At 33.7% G+C, this 22239-nt stretch overlaps 1 protein-coding gene across 4 annotated transcripts in view, besides 1 other annotated feature; it reads right to left on the reverse strand.

Moving 5' to 3' along the window:
• The window catches only part of EYS (eyes shut homolog), a 1987247-nt gene that overhangs the window by 1694855 nt on the left and 270153 nt on the right, over positions 1-22239 (reverse strand). The window lies entirely within an intron of this gene.
• Positions 9998-10167: an enhancer, noted in NCBI's record as "experimental_92593 CRE fragment used in MPRA reporter constructs". NCBI's record gives its function as "activates a minimal promoter by MPRAs in K562 erythroleukemia cells, with activity observed for both the introgressed and non-introgressed 6:66134810 variant alleles {active_cell/tissue: K562}" and the evidence as "EXISTENCE:reporter gene assay evidence [ECO:0000049][PMID:34662402]".

Here is a 22239-nt window from a genome sequence, read left to right on the forward strand (position 1 = left end):
ATCCTTTAGGGAAAAAATGGAGAGAGAGATGACAACACTGATATTTAATGTTACTATAGCAGAGTTGTGCTATCAATGTATAGAATGTGCACTTCAGTGTATAGAAAATATAAAGATGGGAAGGTACCTGAAAAGTTATTAAGAAAGAACAACCAAGGAAGGGGGAATGTAGGAGAAACAAGAGTGTGATGTTTTAAAAATACAAAATTTGTCAAATACTGCAAATGGTTTATAAAAGATGAAGAATTAGACTGAATTAATTAAAGATTAAATTTAGCAATGGCGATTTAATAAACATTAGTAGAACTGTTTCTATGGTATAGTGGGGATAAACATTAGTTGCATAGGTTCAAGAGGAAATGAGAAGAATAAAAATGGAAAGAGGTAGTATATAATTCCTGGCAATTCAAAGGATGGTCCCTTAACCAGTAGAATCAAGATTTCACCTGGTATCTCATTAGAAATGCACTCCAGACCAACTGAAGGCAAATCCAATTTAACCAAGAGTCCCACATGATTCATATGTAAATAAAAATTTGTGAAGCATTGATCCAAATATCTCTTCTGAGTTGTATGAAGTACAGTGGTATGAAGTAGCAACTAGGGAGGTCTTAGAGGTTGTCAGGTCATATTTGTGAACAGATGGGATGCTTAACTAGAGAAAGAAAATTGATAATGAATGCAATAAAGGGGACAGATTCTAGATTAATGTCTATAGGTAAGGTAGAGTGACACATGGAATCCCGCCCACCGGTAAAGGGATTATCAGGTAAGAGACATCAATATAACAGGAGAAAAGACAAAAATAGATGGGCAAAGAATCAAGTTAACTGGTGGCATCCAGGCAGAGCCTGGAGATCTCTTTTTCTGATTGTTTCTGCTGTTTACTAAAATATGAAGCAAAGACAAAAATGAAGTCTAATGAAAGGGGTGGAAGTTTGAGCAAGGAAGAGACGTAATAAATGGTTGCTTAGCATATTGAGAGAAAAAAATGCACACATTAGAAAAACCTATCAAAATTTATGGGCAGTGTCTACGAACTCCTTGCAATTAGTGAATATATGAGACCAGGTAGCATGGTTCCATGTATATTTTACTGCAAACAAATTAATAAGTAGAGATAAATTTAACAGGTTTGTAATTTTGCAGGGGGTTACAACGCGAGGAGAGAGGAACAAGAAATTGAGAATGTGAAAAAGTGGTAGTAATGACACACCATATAATTTAATTGCACAAGAAGAGAAAGGCATCACAAGGAGGAAATAATGAAAGTATGGTAAAGGCTCAATAGTCTTTGTTGTTTGAGGGAATGAAAAACCAACAGAATTTGGAATCCTAGAAGGAACAAATTTGAAAAATGAGACAGGGTTATATTCTTGGAGTAGAATGCTTAAAAGTTTATCTAAATACAAAAAATACATAGTGTGGGTTTGCTATAAGAGTACAGTACATTTTTCATAGTAATAGTAAGTGTGGCATAAATAAGGAGCCATTTATTAAAAGATGTTCATGATAAAGAAACAATTCTCCAAGTGTAAGTTATTATCATTTTTATCTCAAAAAAGTCTCTATCTCTCTCTCATACACACACATGTACAAACATACAGACATAACCCAAATAATTTGAAGTAAAATATTTAAGCAGCAACGCTATTAAAATTATCTAAGTAATTTTTATTTTAGTAGAAATCATAATGGGGCTTCTATAAAACAAACTAGCTCTGCTATCCTAACAATGTGCATATATCCATAAAAAAATCACAATGAATAAAAGATTATTTTAGACCATTATGTTTTATTACAATTTCAGTAAATTCTTTTGGTCAGTCCTCTGATGAAGTGTCAAAAATTTCCGAAGCAATTCTGTGTAAAATAACGCACTGCAGTTAGTTGAGTATTTTATTCACTCAAGTTCGTTTTAGTCTACTTTCCTGTAAGAATGAAGCTATTATACTCTTAGGATAGGCAACACAAAGACATCACCAAGTAGGATGATAATTTGCCTTTCATTTCTATGGGGAGAGAAAGAAATGGTTGCTAGGAGCTCTGTTCAAGAACTTGAAAAGTGACAGAAGAAATAAATACAAGAAAATTGAAGAAAGACAGCTAACTTGTTTACCTATGTTTGATTACATTTTTAAGAGTTTGCCAAGACAAAGAATTGCTCCAAAATAAGAAAGAACATTTAATGAAAATACTCAGTTATTCATCCATGGTAAAAGTAATTATGTAAAAAGTTGCTAGTTTGGCATTTCAGATAAACAAAATAATTATTTTAAGTTATTCATTGTAAAGCTGTAGTAGTATTCATTGTAGTAGTATTCATTGTAAAGTTGTAGTAAAATTGCAATCTAAACATGTACAAAAATTCACACAAATAAATTTATAGTGGTCAAAAATACCAATAACAAAATATAATTTATCAAAAAAAATCAGAGAATTAACCTCCAAAAACACATTGAGCCTAATTTACCTTAACAAATACCATTTAAGTAAAGTTATTATCTTGTTATTAATTCAGTTTTGGCCATGCAGGATATGAAAGTTTAGCAGTTAAAAGTACTGACTTTGCTAAGTTTCTAATGTGTGACTCTCACCACTCAGCTCTTCCACTTAAATTACTAGGATTGAGCACACAACCTATTGCAAGGAGATTAAAACCCAATATATTCCTCCATTGTATGGATCTGCAATTTTTTTTCTCTAAAGAAGCAGATAGTAATTATTTTGGGCTTTGTGGGCCATCAGGTCTCTTGGATTATTCAACTCTGCTCTTGTAGTATGAAAGCAAAGATTACACATAAATGCATAAGAATGATTGTTATATTGCTTTTCATCTATGTCTTTAATAAACCACACAGTGCTTTAAGCCCTTTATATGTAATAATGCAGCAACTTTTATAAAGTAGATATTGTCGTTATGCCTATTATAAGCAAGGTGACTGAGGCACAAGGAGGATAGTCTAGAAACATTCCATCTCTACATTATTCGTCAGAAACTTCGAGGAATGGCTGCCAGAAGCCCAAAATGCAATACTGGATTTAAGAAAGTACCTAAAAACATGTAAATCATGCATAGAATACCAACAACAAAAAGCACATGGGGAGCAAATAGATATGGCCCCTAAAATAAATCCATTCACATCTCTTAATTTGAAGAAGCAGGAGACTGAAATAAAGAGGGCTCCCAGAGCACTGAATTATGATATGAGAATGGTGTGGTAGAATTCAAAACAGACTGTGAGGTATAATTTTTGGAAAAATATGCATATGTTACATATCCTGTTGTGCAATTTTAGGTTAGGCTACATGGGACTACGTTGTACATACCAGCCTAAGTTCCTATTTAATAAATTCAAGTATTCCTAGTAGAAAAACTACATTTCCAGTTAGAAAAGTAATTTTGAGCAACACAATCAAAATGATGTAAACAAAAAGTAATACAGAGAAGACCTGTCAAATGGTATTTCTGGTTCTAGATCCTTGAGGAATTGCCATATTGTCTTCCACAATGGTTGAACTAATTTACATTTCCAATAACACTGTAAAAGCATTCCTATTATTCTGCTATAAGGACACATGCACACATATGTTTATTTCAGCACTATTTACAATAGCAAAGACATGGAACCAAACCAAATGCCCATCAATGATAGGCTGGATAAAGAAAATGTGGTACATAAACACCATGAAATATTATGCAGCCATAAAAAGGAATGAGATCATGTCCTTTGTCCTTTGCAGGGACATAGATGAAGCTGAAAGCCATCATCCTTAGCAAACTAACACAGGAGCAGGAAACCAAACACCACATGTTTTCACTTATAAGTGGGAGTTGAACATTGAGAACACATGGAAACAGAGACCTGTTGGGGGTTGGTAGGTGAGGGGAGGGAACGTAGAGGATGGGTCAATAGGTGCAGCAAACCATCATGACAAACGTATACCTGTGTAACAAACCTTCACGTTCTGCACATGTATCCCATTTTTTTAGAAGAAATAAAGAGAAAAAATCTGTCATGAATACTAAAAGTATGGTCTCAAGCCACAATAAGCGAACCTCCAATTGTGGTTGGACAGTGAAGCCTCTCTACATCTAATTTTATTTTCATGTTTCATCAAAGCCTTAAAGCTTTGATCAGGGGCTTGCCTAATCTCTGGCTGAAAGCACCTCAACCCCTAATACCATGCAGATTTAGTCATTTCTCTGGGAGAATGAGAAAATAAACCAGGTATATGAAGAGTTAATATTCAAAAGAAAAGTTGAAAAATAAGGCAGTCATTTTTTTTTCAGGAGCAGAGCTATTGGAAGGTGAATAAAATATAAATGTATAACTTACGGATGTATAAACCCAAACACGAGGCTTTAAAAAACAAATAAAGCAATCAGTCCTTTAGTAGTTCTTATTTAAAAAGTGAGAGAACATATCTACACCTCATTAAGAATATTAAAATAGAAATTTTATAATTTGATTATATGTGTTTTAAAAGACTGAAAATACAAGAGAATGATTAACAATTCTGTTCTAGTAGAATTGCAATCTAAACATGTACAAAAATTCACACAAATAAATTTATAGTGGTTGAAAACACCAATAACAAAATATAATTTATCAAAAAAAAATCAGAGAATTAACCTCCAAAAACACATTGAGCCTAAATTTTGATTCTTTAAAACCTGTGTAATCTGTACAATTTTGTTCATTATGTTCTAGAACAGCTCCATTCAAGAGAAACAGAATATTTCACATGCGATTTTAAATTTTCTAGTCATCACATTTTAAAAAATAAAGCAAGTAATATTCATTTTAATAATATGTAATGTACCTCAATATATCCAAAATAAAATTATCATAACACATTATCAATATAAAACATTATTAACATTATATTTTAAATTTTGTTTATACTAAGTTTTTGAAAACCAAAGTGGTAAAGTGCATACAGGCATATCCTGGAGCTATTGCAGGTAGGTTTCCAGATCACTACAATAAAGTCAATATCAATCTGAAGCAAGTCACACAAATGTTTTGGCTTCCCAATGCATATGAAAGTTATGTTTACACTATATTATAATCTATTAAGTGTGCAATAACTTCATATCTGAGGAAAACAATGTACATGCCTTAATTTGCAAATACTCTATTGCCAGAAAATGCTAACAATCATCCATGCTTTCAGCAAATCCTAATATTTTTGCTGATGGAATTCTTTCCTCAATGTTCATGGTCACTGATGGATCAGGGTGGTGGTTGCTAAAGATTGGAGAAGCTGTGATAATTTCTTAAAATAAGACAACAAGCTTTCATTTCATGAAATATTTCTCTGTAGCATGCAATGCCATTTGAGAGCATTTTGCCCACAATAGAACTTTTTTCAGAATTAAAGTTGGTCCTCGCAAACCCTGCACTTGGTTTTACCAACCAAATTTATGTAATATTCTAAATCTTTTGTTGTAACTTCAACAATGTTCACAGCATCCTCACCAGGAGTAGATTATATTTGAAGAAACCACTTTCTTTGCTCATTCGTAAGAAACAATCTTCATCCATTAAAGTTGTATCACGAAATGGCAGCAATTCATTCACCTCTTTAGGCTCCACTTTTCATTCTAGTGTTCTTGCTATTTCCACTACATTTGCAGTTGCTTCTTCTACTGTTGTTTTAAACCACTCAAAGTCACCCATGAAGGTTGGAATTACTACCTCCAAATTCCTGTTATTGTTGACATTTTGATCTCCTCTAATGAATCACAAATATTCTTAATGGCATCTAGAATGGTGAATTCTTTCCAGAAAGCTTTCAATTGACTTTGCTTAGATCCATCAGAGGAATCACTGTCTATGGAAGCTATAGCCTTACAAAAAGCATTTCTTAAATAAAAAGACTTGAAAGTAAAAATATTCTTTTATTGGTGGGCTACAAAAGGGATGCCATGTTAGCAGTTATGAAAACAATATTTATCTCCTTGTATAACTCCATCAGATCTCTTGGGTGATCAGTTGCATTGTCACTGAGCAGTAATATCTTGAAAGGAATATTTTTTTTTTCCTGAGCAGCAGGTCACAATGGTGGGCTTAAAATATTCACTAAACTATGCTGTAAACAGGTGTGTGGTCATTCAGACTTTGTTCATCCATTTCTAGAGGGCAGGCAGAGTAAATTTAGCATCTTTCTTAAGGAACCTAGGATTTTTGGAATGGAAGATGAGCATTGGCTTCAACTAAAATTCACCAGCTGCATTAACCCCTAGCAAGAGAAGCAGTCTGTTCTTTGAAGGTTTAAAGTCAGCATTGACTTTTCCTCTCTAGCTGTGAAAGTCCTAGGTGGCACTATCTTCTGATACTAGGCTGTTTTTTTTTCACATTGAAAATATGTTGTTTGGTATAACAACCTTCATCAATAATCTTAGCTAGATCAGGAATTCCTGCTTCACATTGCACTATTATGTTATGGAAGTAGCTTTTTTCCATAAATTTCATGAGTCTATCTCTGCTAGATTCAAACTTTTCTTCTATACCTTCCTCACCTCTCTCAGCCTTTATAGATTGAAGAGAGCTAGAGTCTTGCTCTGGATTAGGTTTTGGCTTGAGGAAATGTTGTGGCTGGTTTGGTCTTCTATTCAGACCACTAACATTTTCTTCATATCAACAATAAGGCTCTTTAGGTTTCTTAACTTTCATGTACTTACTATAGTAGCACTCTTAATTTCCTTCAAGAATTGTTCCTTTGCATTCACAACTTGGCTAACTGTTAGGAGCACAAGGCCTAGCTTCTGGGCTATCTGAGCTTTCCACATGATTTCCTCATTAAGCTTCTTTCTACAAACATACATGTCTCATTTGAATTGAGAGATGTGTGACTTTTCCTTTCACTGAAACACTTAGAGGCCATTGTAGGGCTATTAATTGGTCTAATTTCAATATTGTTGTGTTTCAGGGACTGTGGAGACATGAGAAGAGGGGGAGAGAAAGCAGAACGGTCAGTTGGAAGCAATCAGAACCACACGACATTTATCTACTAAGTTTTCCGTATTATATCGATGCAGTTGGTGGTGTTCCAAAGCAATTACAATAGTAACATCAAAGATCAATGATCACAGAGCCCCATGTAGATATAACAATAAAAAAGTTTGAAATATTGTGAGAATTACCAAAAGGTGACAGAGACACAAAGTGAGCACATGGTGTTAGAAAAACTGGTGCTGATAGATCGGCTTGACTCAGGATTGCCACAAACTTTCAATTTGTAGAAATTGAAGTATCTGTGAAGCACATTACAGCAAGGCACAAGAAAACAATGTATGTCTGTATTTTATGCTTATAGCATATTTAACTTTGAAATAACTAAATTTCAAGTGCTCAATAGCCACATGGCTTGTGGTTCTATACTGAGTAGCACATTTTTAGAGCATGGAAAATAAATAAAGCTTCCAATCTAATCTCAAGAAGTTATTGTAACTTGATACAAATACTTACAATGTACCATATTTAATTCTAGTCCCATGACTGACTAAAGTTGGAAGAATCTTAAAAGAAATATGAGCAATTACATTTTATTAGTATTGACATGTAGCAATAAACAGAACCAAATTGGATCCACTTTAATACTGAAAATTTTAGAAAATCTGTGAATATAGTAAGTTACATTCATACTCAATAGGAAAGAAATTTAATAAGAAAAATACACTTCACATAGAAAAAATGCAAATGCCCAATAAACATGCAAAGCTTTTATATCATCAATAAACATAAAATTAAACAAAAAAACTGCTGCTACCTAATTGCCAGAGTGGCTGAAATAAACATCTGTGACCCACAGAGTAATGTGTTCATATGAAGCAACAGGAAATATCCTACACATCTAACAGGAGGGTAAGTTGGAACAATCACTTTGGAAACAATGTGTTATCATTTAATAACATTTAACAAATACATAAATCAGGACCAAAAAGCCTCTCTCTATATAGAGAGACATATATATATATACATATATACACACATATGTATATATGTATGTTTATGTGTACATCCTACAAAGGAACAACAGACAAGTGCAAGAAAGCTTATGGTAGCATCATTCATAATAACTCCAAACTTAAAATTACCTAAATTCTGTCCATCATCATTATAACATATATATAATTTTGATATGTTCATTCAGTCAAAAAGCACATGACAATAGAAATAATTGCTAAAACTAAACACAACATGATCACACAAACATCCTATAAATAGAAAAAGGATAAAGAGAATAGAGAATATACTGCATAATCCTCACCCACATAAAAATTAAATGAGGGAAAACAAAACTAAAATTTAAAAATTCAGATTGGTTTTTATCGTTGGGGCATATTTACTGAGAAGGGGGAGGAGTAAATATCTGAGAACGCTGGCAACATTTTATTTCTTGATCTATGTCACATGTATGTGGGATTTTGCTTTGTGAGAATTTTGTATTCAAAATGTTAAATTATTCAATTTAAAAATACATGTAATTAAACCATGCATAAAATTAAAAGGCAGGTAATTTGTTAAAATGTAATGTGTGTGATGGGCAGATGTTCTTCAGTGTTTTTAGCTGTTTGCTTGTGTCACTGGGAGTCAAATGTTAGCCAATGTCAGAATCACAGGGTCAGCTTTTTAGAACAGATCCTGGGACCTAGCTTCCAAAACTTCTGATTCAGCGGGTCTACATTAGGTATCATAAATTGAGAATTTTTATTGCCATGTTCCCAGGTGATTCTGATGCTGCTGATACAGAACCACACATTATAAACCTCTGGCTTTTGCTATGCCCATTGAAATATACTTCCCTCCATCCTCACAGTCACCTAGCTAACCCACTTTTACATTCACCCTAGGCCCAACTCAAGCAAGGCCACATAATTAGGTTACCCTCTCCTCCCAAACCTACTATTATCTTCAGGGAGCCCGCTTCTATTCTTTCATAATATTTTCCTGAGAAATTTACTTAAGATATTTTATCTCTCTGTCTAGTCTTCTAATTGCCCTGCTATAAGTGACATTCTCTAGGGTTTACTTTATCCCTGAGAGTGTTTATTTAATTATATTTGTTGAATAAATAAATCCCATCCATTGACTTTTCAATTCCTTTCAGTTGTCAATTTCTCTTTTAGGTTCCTATGTGTCTTGCCTTTAGCCCCCTATTTCAAAGTCTAACTTTAATCCTAGCTTTCTTGGGAACACCTTCCTTCCAGGTTTCTAAGGTGTAATGAATTTAACGTGAAATTTGTGTCCTGGCAGCCTCCTTCATCATTAACTCAGCCAAAGACTGCCAACATTTTTCTATACATTCGAAGTTTTACTTGCTTCTTTCTTGGTAGGGTGCACTGTCCTTCTTACTAAGTTGCCAGAAGATTAACAATCCATAATCTCCCTTTCATTATGTTCCCTAGCAATTTTATTTCTATTTTTTTCTTTCTTTTCCTCATATAACCTTGCTCTTAAGATTTTTCTGATGGTCTGTGAATTATCTTATTATTTTCTTTAGTCTTACTCTCCACAAAAATACTTTATGGAAAATGAATATTTATCCTATGTCCTTCACTTTGTGGCTTTGGAAATAATGCTTCCTTTGTTACTTCCTTTCTCTCTTCCTTTCACGGCCATTGAAACCTATTTTTAATACACAGTATTAAATAAATGCATTCATCCTCTTGTGCTTGAAAATATATTACAGATTTTCCATGTTTAATGAAAGGCATCTGTTTTATATTACATCAAATCTAACTCATTTTACCAATCAGTACACAATTATATTTTTAAGAAGTGAGGTTTTGAGAGTAGGTATCCTAAGTTTATAAATGCTTTGGTATTTTGCTGCTACCTCAGAAATATTTAAATATTCTGGTATCCAGATGATGTGTGTTACATTAACTGAGGCATGTACCGGTTAATGGATCTCTCACCTCTGTCTGAAGATGGAAGAAATAGTATGCCTTCAATAACCCTCAAACCTAGAAGCTATTATTAATAAAAAGCAGGGAGATTTTCTCTGCATTCCAACCTCAAGTGCATATGAACTATTACTCTATATTTTCTGCCCAAATGAAATTTACTCCGGGAAGGCAAATAATAAATGAAGCTAGAGATTGTTTTTCTTGTTTGGTGTCTCTGTGTCTAAGGGTGTTATTGCAGACATTTATAATGAATAAAAATTGAATGGCTAATATAATTATATGTGCAATTCAGTACCAAAGCGCTCCTTTGACCAACTATCTTGGTCAGCTGAAAAGCCTTTAGCTGTATAAATGTATATTTGATTACAAAGGTAATGTTGAATATTGTGGTTAGTTATTCTTTCAACAGGGAAGGAAAATATTATTTTTGTATATGAATAATGATGGTAAAGGGTACATTAAAATACTTGAATTACAAACTAATCTGTCTCTAGATGTGTTCTCCATGATCATGAAGAGAATTAATATAGTCAATTTTAAATAGATATAGTAAACGTGCAAAACAAGTAAAATTTGGAAATGTGTTTTCTGGTTCAAGACTGTGGCTTCCATATACACTTGTTTTCTTTATGTTTTTAGAGCATATTAAAATGGTACCATTAAATTACTCACATATTGAGGAAAGCTAAAGAATCAATAGACTCAGATTGCAAAGAGGCTGAGTAGGTAATTTAATTGTTTTTGCTTTTCATAATTGTTGGGGAGGCTATCTTGCTTTATAAAACAAGATTAACTTCAATAATATCTATGTGTTTTAGAGGTGAAAACAATGTCTAAAGCATTTATGTTAAACTTGGTTGGATTTGACTTCTTCTTATGAGGTTATCCTTCCATTAGAAATTTAAACAGTGAGCAGAGGCTAAGAATCCTTTTATTACTCATAAAATTTTGGCTTTGATGGACAAGTGTTTATAGTTCATGGCGAGGGACCAGTCTTTTAAAGCATTTTCATCTTTGCCAAAGTCTCTTCCTGGATTTAACTGGTCATCTCAGCAGGTATTGGAGCACTTTATGGCTTTATGATGACGAATTTTTTCTCTCTAGAAGTGATGGCAGAAATTTTAGGTGTTTTTCAGCTGTATTTATCCACCAAACTCAAGTGCATGTAACCAAACTGAAGACTACAGAACAAAGACTTCTTAATAAGTCAAACAGAAGAATTCCATTTTAAGTTTTAGAAAGAGGGTCTCACTCTGTCCCATAAGCTAGAGTGTAGTGGCACAATCATAGCCCACTGCAGCCTCAAACTCCTGGGCTAAGTGATCCCACAGCCTCATCCTCAAAAGTATCTAAGACTAGAGGTGTATGCCACCTCACCCAGCTGATTTTTATTTTTGTATTTTTTGGAGGTGGGTTCTTGCTACGTTGCTTAGGCTGGTTTCAAACTTACGGCCTCAAGGGATCCTACCTTGGCCTCCTAAAGTGATGAGATTACTTAAGGCATAAGCCACTACAGATAGCCAAAATTCTATTTTATTATTATTAACTTTTCATTTCCTGTGCTGAAACAAATTGCTCTCCACCTGTTGTTGGCTACTAAATAAAATACAGGGGTAACCTTGCATTTAGTGGCTCTGATGTATGGATATACATAAATAAATATATTTTATTATTATCTTTAATGTCTAAAAAAACACTGAATGAATGAGATTGTCCCACTTTGGATAAGAGGCAATGTGGTAAAATGTCTGCTAGACCTAAGCAGATTAATTTTCTGATCCTATATTCTTTGGAGCATGTTTTCCTAAATAAAGTTGCCTGCTGAATCACCTCCACTTTTTAAATTGCCCTGTTCTTTTTGTCTATCAAAGCTGATTTTATAAAAGCTAATTAGGAAGAACAGAGATAATATGATGAATAAATCGTAGGGTTGTGAGACTTTTCTTTTACTATATACCCTTCTACACTATTTTCCTTTTTAATCATAGGCAAGGAATTTACAATACATATTGTAATGTAAAAATTTTGTTTTAGGAGTTTCAACAGATGTTAATAAGTTATAAACCTTAATTTAGTAATTTACATGACTAAATATGTAACATCTAAAAATGAATCTTTTGTTTACATACATGGAAATGTTGTGGCTTGATTTAAACTTTATGGATTTTTAATTATTAGAAGTTCTTAATATTAATGTAGTTAAATACATAAATATTTTCTTTTAGGTTTAATTTTGGAATGTGTGTGTTGTATATCTGTATGTTTTTAAGGAAATATTTCCCATAGCGAAGCCATAGTCTTCTCTATTATAACCTTAAATAAAATTTGTAAAGTTTAGCCCCCTGAAGCTTTTTCTTTAAATGGTGTAGGGTAACCCTTACTCTAGTTCCACCTTCATAAGTAGTCTTGATATCTGCCAGGGGATTTCACTTCACTTTTTCTTCAGGAGCATCATAGTTATTCTTTGGCCTTCCATTCAAATTTTGTAATCATTTTAGCACATTTCTTGGAAAATTCTTTTGGAATATTAATTAAAATTATAGATCAAGTTGAAAATTAATTGAGATGATGAAGAGTCTCCTTGTGCATGAATATGCTATTTCCCTCAATGCATTTACACGTTTAAATTTTTCAAAATACAGATATGCATTGACTATCTCATGTTAGATTTGTTTCATAGTTAATATGTATTTTTGGTTAATATTATAAAATATTTCTCTTTAAATTGTGTTTTCAATAGCCTATTAATGTAATTATAAACACATATTTTAAAAATAAATATGTACATAAAAAATAGAATTATTTTTTTCATTACAGGGGTAGAATAAGAATTACTTCGAAGATAGGCAGCATATTTGAGTCAACATAAAATATGCTCTCATCAATTGCAGACATGCAACAGTAAAAGGGGCACCATTATGGTGTAGAAGTACCCCACTGAATGCTGAATTATATCATTCAGTATTAACTCACCATCTGTAATAAAAATTGCAAAAGAAATTCATACAGATTTGAAATAATCAAAATAGTATAAAATGCAATATATGATTTATTATATTCAGGATATAATTCATGACATACTAAGGAGAGAAAGCAGGAGATTCAAAATTATATATTTAGGATGCTTCCACATATAGATGATATCAAGAACATGATATATAATTACAAAAGTATACATGATACATTCTATGGTATGAAAGTACAAATAAAGAAAATTTCATTTTATTAGTAATAAAATGTAAATTTAAAATATTAACACGTTATACATAATAAGTGAAATTTGATGTTCAACTTAGCAAATATTTTTTTAATTTTTGGAATGATATCAACTACTGCTGGTGAGAGTGATGTACAATGGCCTCTTTTATACAGCAATAATGGAATTACAAACTTGCTCATCAATTCTCAAAGGGAATTTCTTAGTATGCTTATGTTCATTATTTTGAACATTGACCCAGTTATTCTATGTCTGAAAATTTATTCTAAAATACAAATATATACTCAAAGATCTAGATTTATATGACAGTATTTTTTAATAAAAGCAATGTTAAAAAGTGAATATATACATAGAATGGTTAAATAAATACATTGAAATGATAAAAGGCTAAGTAGTCATTAAATTTCATAATAATTACATCAAACACTTGTATTGCGCTAATTATGTGCCAATCATTGCTATTCATTTTTACGTATATTAACTCATTTAAATATCACATATTTTTCTATGAAATAGTCACTGTCATTAAACTCATTTTTTTTTTTAGCAATATTGAGGTTAAGTAACTATCCAAGCTGGAATTGTATGCCAAATCTATGCTGTTTTTTGATTCTCCTTCTTCTCAAGCCATTAACAGACAAGATAATGGACTGACCACTTCGACGCATAAAATTCTCCTTCCCTTAAACTCCACCCATGCCCTCAGGTCTTCAATAAAATAATACAAAATATAGATAATCTTACATCATATTGGGAACTGAAAATCACTGAGGAATTTTTTTTAAATATAATGTAAGTTGGATCAAATTGCAGTAAAACTATCAAAAACTGTCAAATGCATCAAAGAAACACTGTGCTTCATTGCTAATAAATCCCCCACATGAGGCACCAATATGAAATTGTGGCCTATAAATAAAAGATGTTCTGAGCCGGGCGTGGTGGCTCATGCCTATAATCCTGGCACTTTGGGAGGCCGAGGCAGGCAGATCACCTGAGGTCGGGAGTTCGAGACCAGCCTGACAAACATGGAGAAACACTCTCTACTAAAAATACAAAATTAGCCGGGCATGGTGGCACATGCCTGAAATCCCAGCTACTCGGGAGGCTGAGGCAGAAGAATTGCTTGAACCCAGGAGGCGGGGGTTGTAGTGAGTGGAGATGCACCATTACACTACTGCCTGGGCAACAAGAGCAAAATCATCTCAAAAAAAAAAAAAATGTTCTGGCACAACACTTGTAGCAACAGTTAACTGGAAGAGAAATTACCAGGGGCCAGTGCATGGTGTGCAACTAGAAATATACTATGTGGAATCTCCCTTTAATAATCACTAATCCTCAAACGTATTATAAAGCCGCTTACTCTTCCAGCCTCTGGGATTCTTCCACTTGGATATAAAAAATTGAAACCAAAACAAAACAAAACAGTGAGGCAGAGTTATTCAATTCATTTTCCAGCAGGCAAAGAAATGAAGCTAAATACTAACAGCTTCATTTCTTATAGCCTTATAGCTAAAGAGAAAGCTAAATACTAATATCTGAGCCCTACCATAGTGGCTTCATTGTCCGTATACAGTAGTATCAAGCACACTCTAATATCCTTACTTCATTGGTTCCAAACCCAATTTGCTAATTTATGTTGGTAACACCAACCCTCCAGATTACACACTATAAACAAAGTGATATTGGGACTTGACTATACAATAAAACAAGCAAAAGAGAATAAAATGTATTATCTATGGAGAAACATTGAGAATGATTTTTTTTTTCTTATTTATGATGAGTTTCCAAAAACAGATACACAAATAATTTCAGGCTAATGAAAATGTCTTGGAAAATAAATGAAGAAAATAACACTTGATAGAGAAGAGATACTTTTAATTATTGTAATGACAATAATAGTCAATGTTTTATAATAATACTTTTAGTAATACTTTTAGTTTACTACGCCAAGCAGTGTTCCAATACCTTTACATGGATAGCTGTTTTAATCCTCATAATAACCTATCAGATAGTAGCATTATTATTCCCATTACAGATTAGTGAAGCATAGGAAAGATGAGTAATTTGCTCAAATTCACACTGCTACAAATGATAAACTCTTGTGTCTGAACCAGGGGTTGAGAGGTAGAGCAAGATGGCAGAATAGAAGGCTCCATCAATCTTCCCCCCTCTTCAGGGACACAAAGTTAACAACTATCTACAAAGGAAAAACACGTCACAATAACCAAAATCAGGTGAGCACTCATAGTATCCTTTTTTAACTTCATATCACTGAAAGAAGCACTGAACTCAGTGCTGTTCTGTTAGAGCAGAAAGAAAAACCAGACCGAACACCGAACTCATCTGACACCTGCCCACAAATGGAGCATTTAAACAACCCTAGCCAGAGGTGAACCACTAATCCCAGCAGTCCTGACTTGAGTGCCCACAAACCTCACACTGAGGTCCAAAATGCCGGTCTCTGAGTAAACTTGAAAGGCATAAGGCATAAGTTTCTAGGCCATAGGGACTGCAACTCATAGGCAAGTCCTAGCACTGAACTAAGCTGATACAGTTGACTTGTGGGGAACGTGACATACAAAGACACCAGCTGGGGCAGCTAAGGGAATGCTGGCATTACCCCTCCCCTAGACCCAGGCTAACCCTAACCCTTTCCTTCTGCTTGAGCAGAGGAGAGAAAAGAGTGGGGAGGACTTTATCTTGCATCTTTGATCTTGATCAGCCACAGGATAGGACACTGGTCAGAGTCATGAGGCCCCTGTTCCAGGCCCTAGCTGCCAGATGGCATTTCTAGGCACATCCTGGGCCAGAAAGGAACCTGCTGACTTGCAGGAAAGGATCCAGTCCTGGCAGCATTCATTACCTGCTAACTGAAGAGCCCTTGCGTCCTGAAAAACCAGCAGTAATACCCAGGTGCTATGTGGAGGGCCTTGGGTGAGCCTCTGAGACTTGCTGTCCTCAGGTGAGATGCAGCACATTACCAACCTTGGTGGCCATGGGGGAAAAACATCCTTCTTGAGGAAAGCAGAGGAAAAAGAAGAGGGAACTTTGTCTTACACTTTAGATACGAGTACTGCCACAGTCAGGCAGAGCACCAAGTGGGCACTTAAGAATCTTCTACACTACTACTTTCAATTTGCCTTTTCTACCACCACTCCAGATTGTGGACAAGATCACTAACAACCATCTTACTTCAGAATCCGTTGTGAACTCTTTCACCATTTTTGTTAATTGACCTGTCAGCAAAGCAGCATTTAAAGTGTGGGTCATAACCTCCTTTTGAGAAACACCTTTTCCTTTACTCCTTAATATCACCATCCTGTATCTTGGGTTGGTACTTCTCAATGCCCTTTGTGTCAGTGTCTCTTTGTCACATACTTCACTTTCACTTTAATTGCTGGTATTCCTCCTTATTCTGTTCTGAAGATAGTTGTCTTCTATTCAGCTTTTTTCCTTTGGTGGATACTACCAGATCCCAGGAAGTCAACTAATATGTATATAATATTTATGACAATAAAATAAATAATATATTATTTGTAATTTACTATTCTCTCTTCTGGGGAGCTTTCCTTCTTTAAATATGTTGAAAACACTACATTATTTATCATAAATATTTGTTCATTATATATGACAGTAACATTATTAGGTGGAAATATTATGTGTTGGAAAAAATTGCTCAAATTATATTCATGATCACCGGCTGTTCTAAAATCAATTTTATTAGGTAATATCTGTGTCACATTATCTCTAAATTTCCGTAATTTTCATAATGAAAATGAAGAATAAAATCAAACTAAGTTTTAAAATGTGAGCTAGTAATTTTAGTTATAATGTTTATTTTAACATTAAACTCATGAATAAATAACAAAATTAAATGCAATTCATCATTCTTTGAACATTTCTGAATTTTTGAAGATCAAATATAAATCTTTCACAAGGCTTGTATTTGACAATGTTGAGCAACTATCTCTGGTGGGAGGTTGTTATTGTACATTTTAAAAATAATTTAGAATACCAAAAACAATTCCTCACTAGATTCCTTCTGGAAACCAAGAAAATATCCAATAATAATGGCATTCTCTAAACCCAGTTAATTAAAATCTTATGATCCATAAAAGTAAGATAAATATTACTCATATTTGTAGATAGAACATTAGAGGATTGTTGCTGTATTTTCAGAGTAAGGGTAAAGATTAATCTTTTCATAAGTCAGGATTGCAATAGCTGTTTTATAAATAGGGTTTTTGGAAGTTAATTATTTATATGAAACATAAAATTATTGTGTCAGATGCTTTTCTAGGGACTGGAGATAAAATAATGAACAAAACAGATAACCATATATCACCTCCTTGAACTTAAATTCTGGTGGGAGAACACAGAAAAATAAGTACATACATAGGTACATACGTACACACAAAACCTATGATTATGTAATAACCATTATAATTTATAATAATTTAGATGCAGACGAGTATTACGAAAAAAATGAAACAAAAGAGGGTGGGGTTGCTCAGGTATGGGTATAGGGTTCATTTTTAAATAATGTGGTAAGGAAATGCCTAACTTTGCAGAACAAGAAGGAGCCCAAGATGACTGTGAAAGAATGAGAGGAGTACAGACGTGGGAGAGTGGGAGACCAGGTCCAAAAGGAAAGGAGGTCAGACAATTTAGGTCCTTATAGGGCATTTTGAAGGCTCCTCTTCTTAGTGATATAAAAGCTTCTACACAGAAGGGGATTTAGCAAACTGACATGCTCTGACCCACATTTGAGCAGAATTGTTCTCCCTGCTGTTGGAGGTAAAAGGCAGAAGCTGACACTGACATGGCAGCAATGAAATGGGTGAGAAGTGGTCAGATTTTAAATGTATTTTGTAGGTAAGAGCAACAAACTTTTCTGAGGGATTAAGTAAGAATGTAAGAGAAAGGAGAAGTCAAGAAAAAAAAAGACTGCAAGGTTTTTGTTTGTTTTTTAACCTTGGCCAACTGGGAAGATAGACTGGTAATTAAGGGAGGAATGGGAGGGGGTGGATATCACGTGTTTGTTTTGTGCAATTAAGTTACAGTGTTGAATTTAAGATACATCAATATATAATAGGTACCATTAAGGAAACACATCAAGTGGGCAGTTAGATACAAAACTATGGAGTCCATAGGAAAAGTCTATTGAGCCTTTTCAGGTTATGGATTGTTTTTAAATATATAAAACTAGACAAGAATACAAAGGAAATGAAGATAGCAAAGACATGGAAGCCAATATGTAGTGTCCTGGAGTCCAAGTGAAGACGGTACTTTAAAGGGCAAGGAAGGATCAATTTTATGACAATCACTAGCTCTTCTAGAATGTCAGTCACTTCATCTGCAATTGGAGGCATTGGAACATGACCTGATGGACTCCATTCATTCCGGGTCTTAACATTTTGTGGGACTCACCAGGGTACATGATTTAAAAAAAACAGAATGCTTCAACAAGATTATATTTTCATGGTCATCTCTTTTCAGTGCTTTAAATTTGTGATTAAGAGAATGTTTGAGATTAATCATGGAAATAATTAAATCATGTCTAAACTCATTATATGAGAGATGAAAGTAATAACACCCAGCCAAGTTTAGTGGCTGTGAAACATTTAAAATTTGGGGTCAGCCTACAGACTCTTAGGGACAGATTTAGTACGTTATTCAGAAGGCAAAATAGAAATATTTCGGGAGTTGTTAATAATTTGATAGCTTTATAAGATTATTTGTTAATAAAAATGGTACTAGAATGAACCAAGTAATGACTTTAACATTTGAATATGCACTTACTTTTTATTTTACTTGATCACGATTTGGCTCTTTAATTAATTTCATTTACTTTTAATCTTTCTTTTGGCCCAGAGGAAAAATTAACAAGTTGAAATGCCATGTTTGGGTTTAATTTGAGAATGAGATTTGAAATATGAAATATACCTCTTCTTCAAATCACTTCTGTGGCTTAAAGAATGACAAAGACCTCTATTTCCTACCACATCAGTCACAGCTCTTCCTAAGCATCACACTTTCAACAGAAATACAGCTGACCTCATAATCATCCCAGATAAACCATTTTTTATTTTCCCTGATCTTCAGTGAACATTTTAAAAAGGCAGAGTGATTGGAGAGCAATGTGGAGGAGTGAATAGTGCAGCATAGTGCTGAGAGCCCTCAAGAACTAAGCTTTGCTAAGAATGTGGACCTTGTTGAAGACGTAAGTCATTATCCAGAGATGAAGAGAAGCACCAAGTATTGTGACATAAAATTTTGCAGAAGGAAGAGGCAATATTAAAACAACAACAACAGGTTATATCAGGGACATTTTCCTAGGTTTGCATAATTTTTTTTTTTTTTTTGAGACGGAGTCTCGCTCTGTTGCCCAGGCTGGAGTGCAGTGGTGCAATCTCGGCTCACTGCAAGCTCTGCCTCCCACGTTCACGCCATTCTCCTGCCTCAGCCTCCCGAGTAGCTGGGACTACAGGCGCCCGCCACCACGCCCAGCTAAATTTTTGTATTTTTAGCAGAGACGGGGTTTCACCATGTTAGCCAGGACGGTTTCGATCTCCTCACCTTGTGATCGGCCCGCCTTGGCCTCCAAAGTGTTGAGATTACAGGCATGAGCCACCGCGCCCGGCCACAAAAATTTTTAAATAAGGAAAATTTTAAAATTGTCACTTCAACTTAAATGTTTCATCTATGAGAGGCTGCATAGCGCCTAAAATCTCTCATCATACTTCTTCTCCTGAAAGATGCATTTAATGCTAGAAACATTGACATATGCTACTCTTTATATCTAAAATGTTCCCTTAATATGAAAATGTATTAATATTTTAAGGCTTAATTTATACTGCTACTTCTCTGTGAAGACCTGTTTGTCTCATTTCAATTAAATATCTCTTTCTTTTCGTACCTTTATTATCTAATTATCTCTACTATTCCTAGTATTCTTAATATTTATTATACATAGGCTCTTGGGGACAGAAGGACTAGTATTCTGCATAGCTTGTATTTTGCATTATTACTGGGTTAGTATATTAAATAATTAATAGATGAGTAAATTAATATCACACATCTAAAGTCACCAGATTTTATGTTAAATAAGATATTTTCTATCTGATTTAAGAAAAAAAATTGAAAGACAAATTACTGTACCTATTGGGTTTCATTAATTGGTTACAGAGTTATAAAATAACCTCAAAAAACAACATGTTTAAAATGTTACCTATATAATTAAATGTTGACCTTGTGGGACAGTAGATGAAAGTATCAATGTAATATTAATTATTTATGATGATAAAGCCTTTATGAGACTTAAAGGAATTTCTGTAAGTCAAAGATTATAACAGTTCACATGTTATGATTTGCTATTTAGTAGTTCTATTTTCACAAATTTTCTAATAAAATTTTGTTTTATATATATGAATACAAATACATATTATTTAACAATAGATGTCTTTTTATGGGCTGATTATCACAAAAACTTAAAAGGAAATGATTATGTAAGCATGTTTACAGTCTCTTATGGAATTACTAAGTAAAAAGAGAGAGATTAAATTGTTAACTTTAAAGTTAACAATTTTAACTGGGTGAAGGGCCCATGGAATCCTCCTTTATTATTTTCTACAAGTGCATGTGAATCTACAATTATCTCTAAATGAAAAAAACCTTAATAGAAATATTTTCACACTTACTAAGGACTGAATTGTGTCCTTGTCAAAATTCATTTGGTGAAGTCCCAGCCCCCACCCCAATAATTCAGAAAGTAACTGTATTTTTACATAGGGCCTTTAATGATATAATTAAGGTAAATGAGGACATGTGGGTGGGCCCTAATCCAATATGATTAGTGTCCTTATAAGTAAAGGAGATTAGGACATAGAGGCACAGAGGGAAGACCATGTGAGGACACAAGATGGCCATTTAAAAGCCGAAAACAGAGAGGCCTATGAAGAAACAACCCTGCTGACACTTTAATCTCTAACTTCTAGTCTCCGGAAATGTGAAAATATTAAATTTTAGTTTTTAAGCCATCCAGTACATGGCCCTTTTTTTTACGATTGTCCTAACAAATCAATATAACACTAAACAGAGCATTTTATTTTAAAATACATATAACCAAAAGTAGAAGAAAAGTCTAATAGCAAAGAAAACTATCAATGTAATTGGCCATATTAGCAGATGGAATGAGACAAAATCATGGCTCATCTTTTTGGATGCTGGAATAAATATTTAATAAAATTCCACATACTTTTGAAGATTAAATGCCAGAGCATTTGGAATGAAAGGGAAATCTCTAAATCTGACAATGGCTACTTACTAACAACCAACAACAGACATTATTTTTTTCATCATTTTTAAGGGTGAAACATTACAAATGTTTTATTTGAAAATGAGAAGCAAGAGAAGGTAGACTGCAATCAGCACATCTATTCAAAGCCATATGAAAGGACTCGGCCAGAGCAATGTGACAAGAAGAAAAAAGAAGAAAAAAAAATGATGTTTTGATTGTCTATTCAGTGCTTCCCAGCATTTTTCATTTCAGGGGAAACACAGAAATTGCTAAAGGAACCAGATCAATATCTTCCCTCACTTGTAAACCATTTGTGACACAGCAGTATTCTGCTGCAAATGGTTGAGAACCCTGTTCTATATTGTAAATCAACATAGTGACAATCTTTCAGAAAAAGTATTCATCTAGATTGCTGAGAAAATATCAATATACAAAATAGATAAATGTCCTATATACCTTCAATAAATAATTAGAAAAGATGTTCAAGATATGTATGAAGATAATTATAAATCTTTCTTGAAATAAAAAATATCTGAATAGATATAAAGAATGGTTGAAATTTTAATATTTTATTTAAAGAAACCATTCTCCCAAAAATAATTTACAAATTCAGGAAATTTCTAATCAAAACTTACAACTTAATACACAAAAACGGAGTCAAGAATGGCCAAGACAATTCTGTAGCAAGCATAAAGGGAAAGCAGGTTTTAACAGGTATGTAAAGTAAAAATTAGAAATCTACAGTAAGTAATAAAGTATAGTATTTTGGTGTAAGCTGGCTGATTGGTAGCAGAATAGAAA

This window comes from Homo sapiens, chromosome 6 (genome assembly GCF_000001405.40).
Source record: "Homo sapiens chromosome 6, GRCh38.p14 Primary Assembly".
In the NCBI taxonomy this organism is placed as follows: domain Eukaryota; kingdom Metazoa; phylum Chordata; class Mammalia; order Primates; family Hominidae; genus Homo; species Homo sapiens.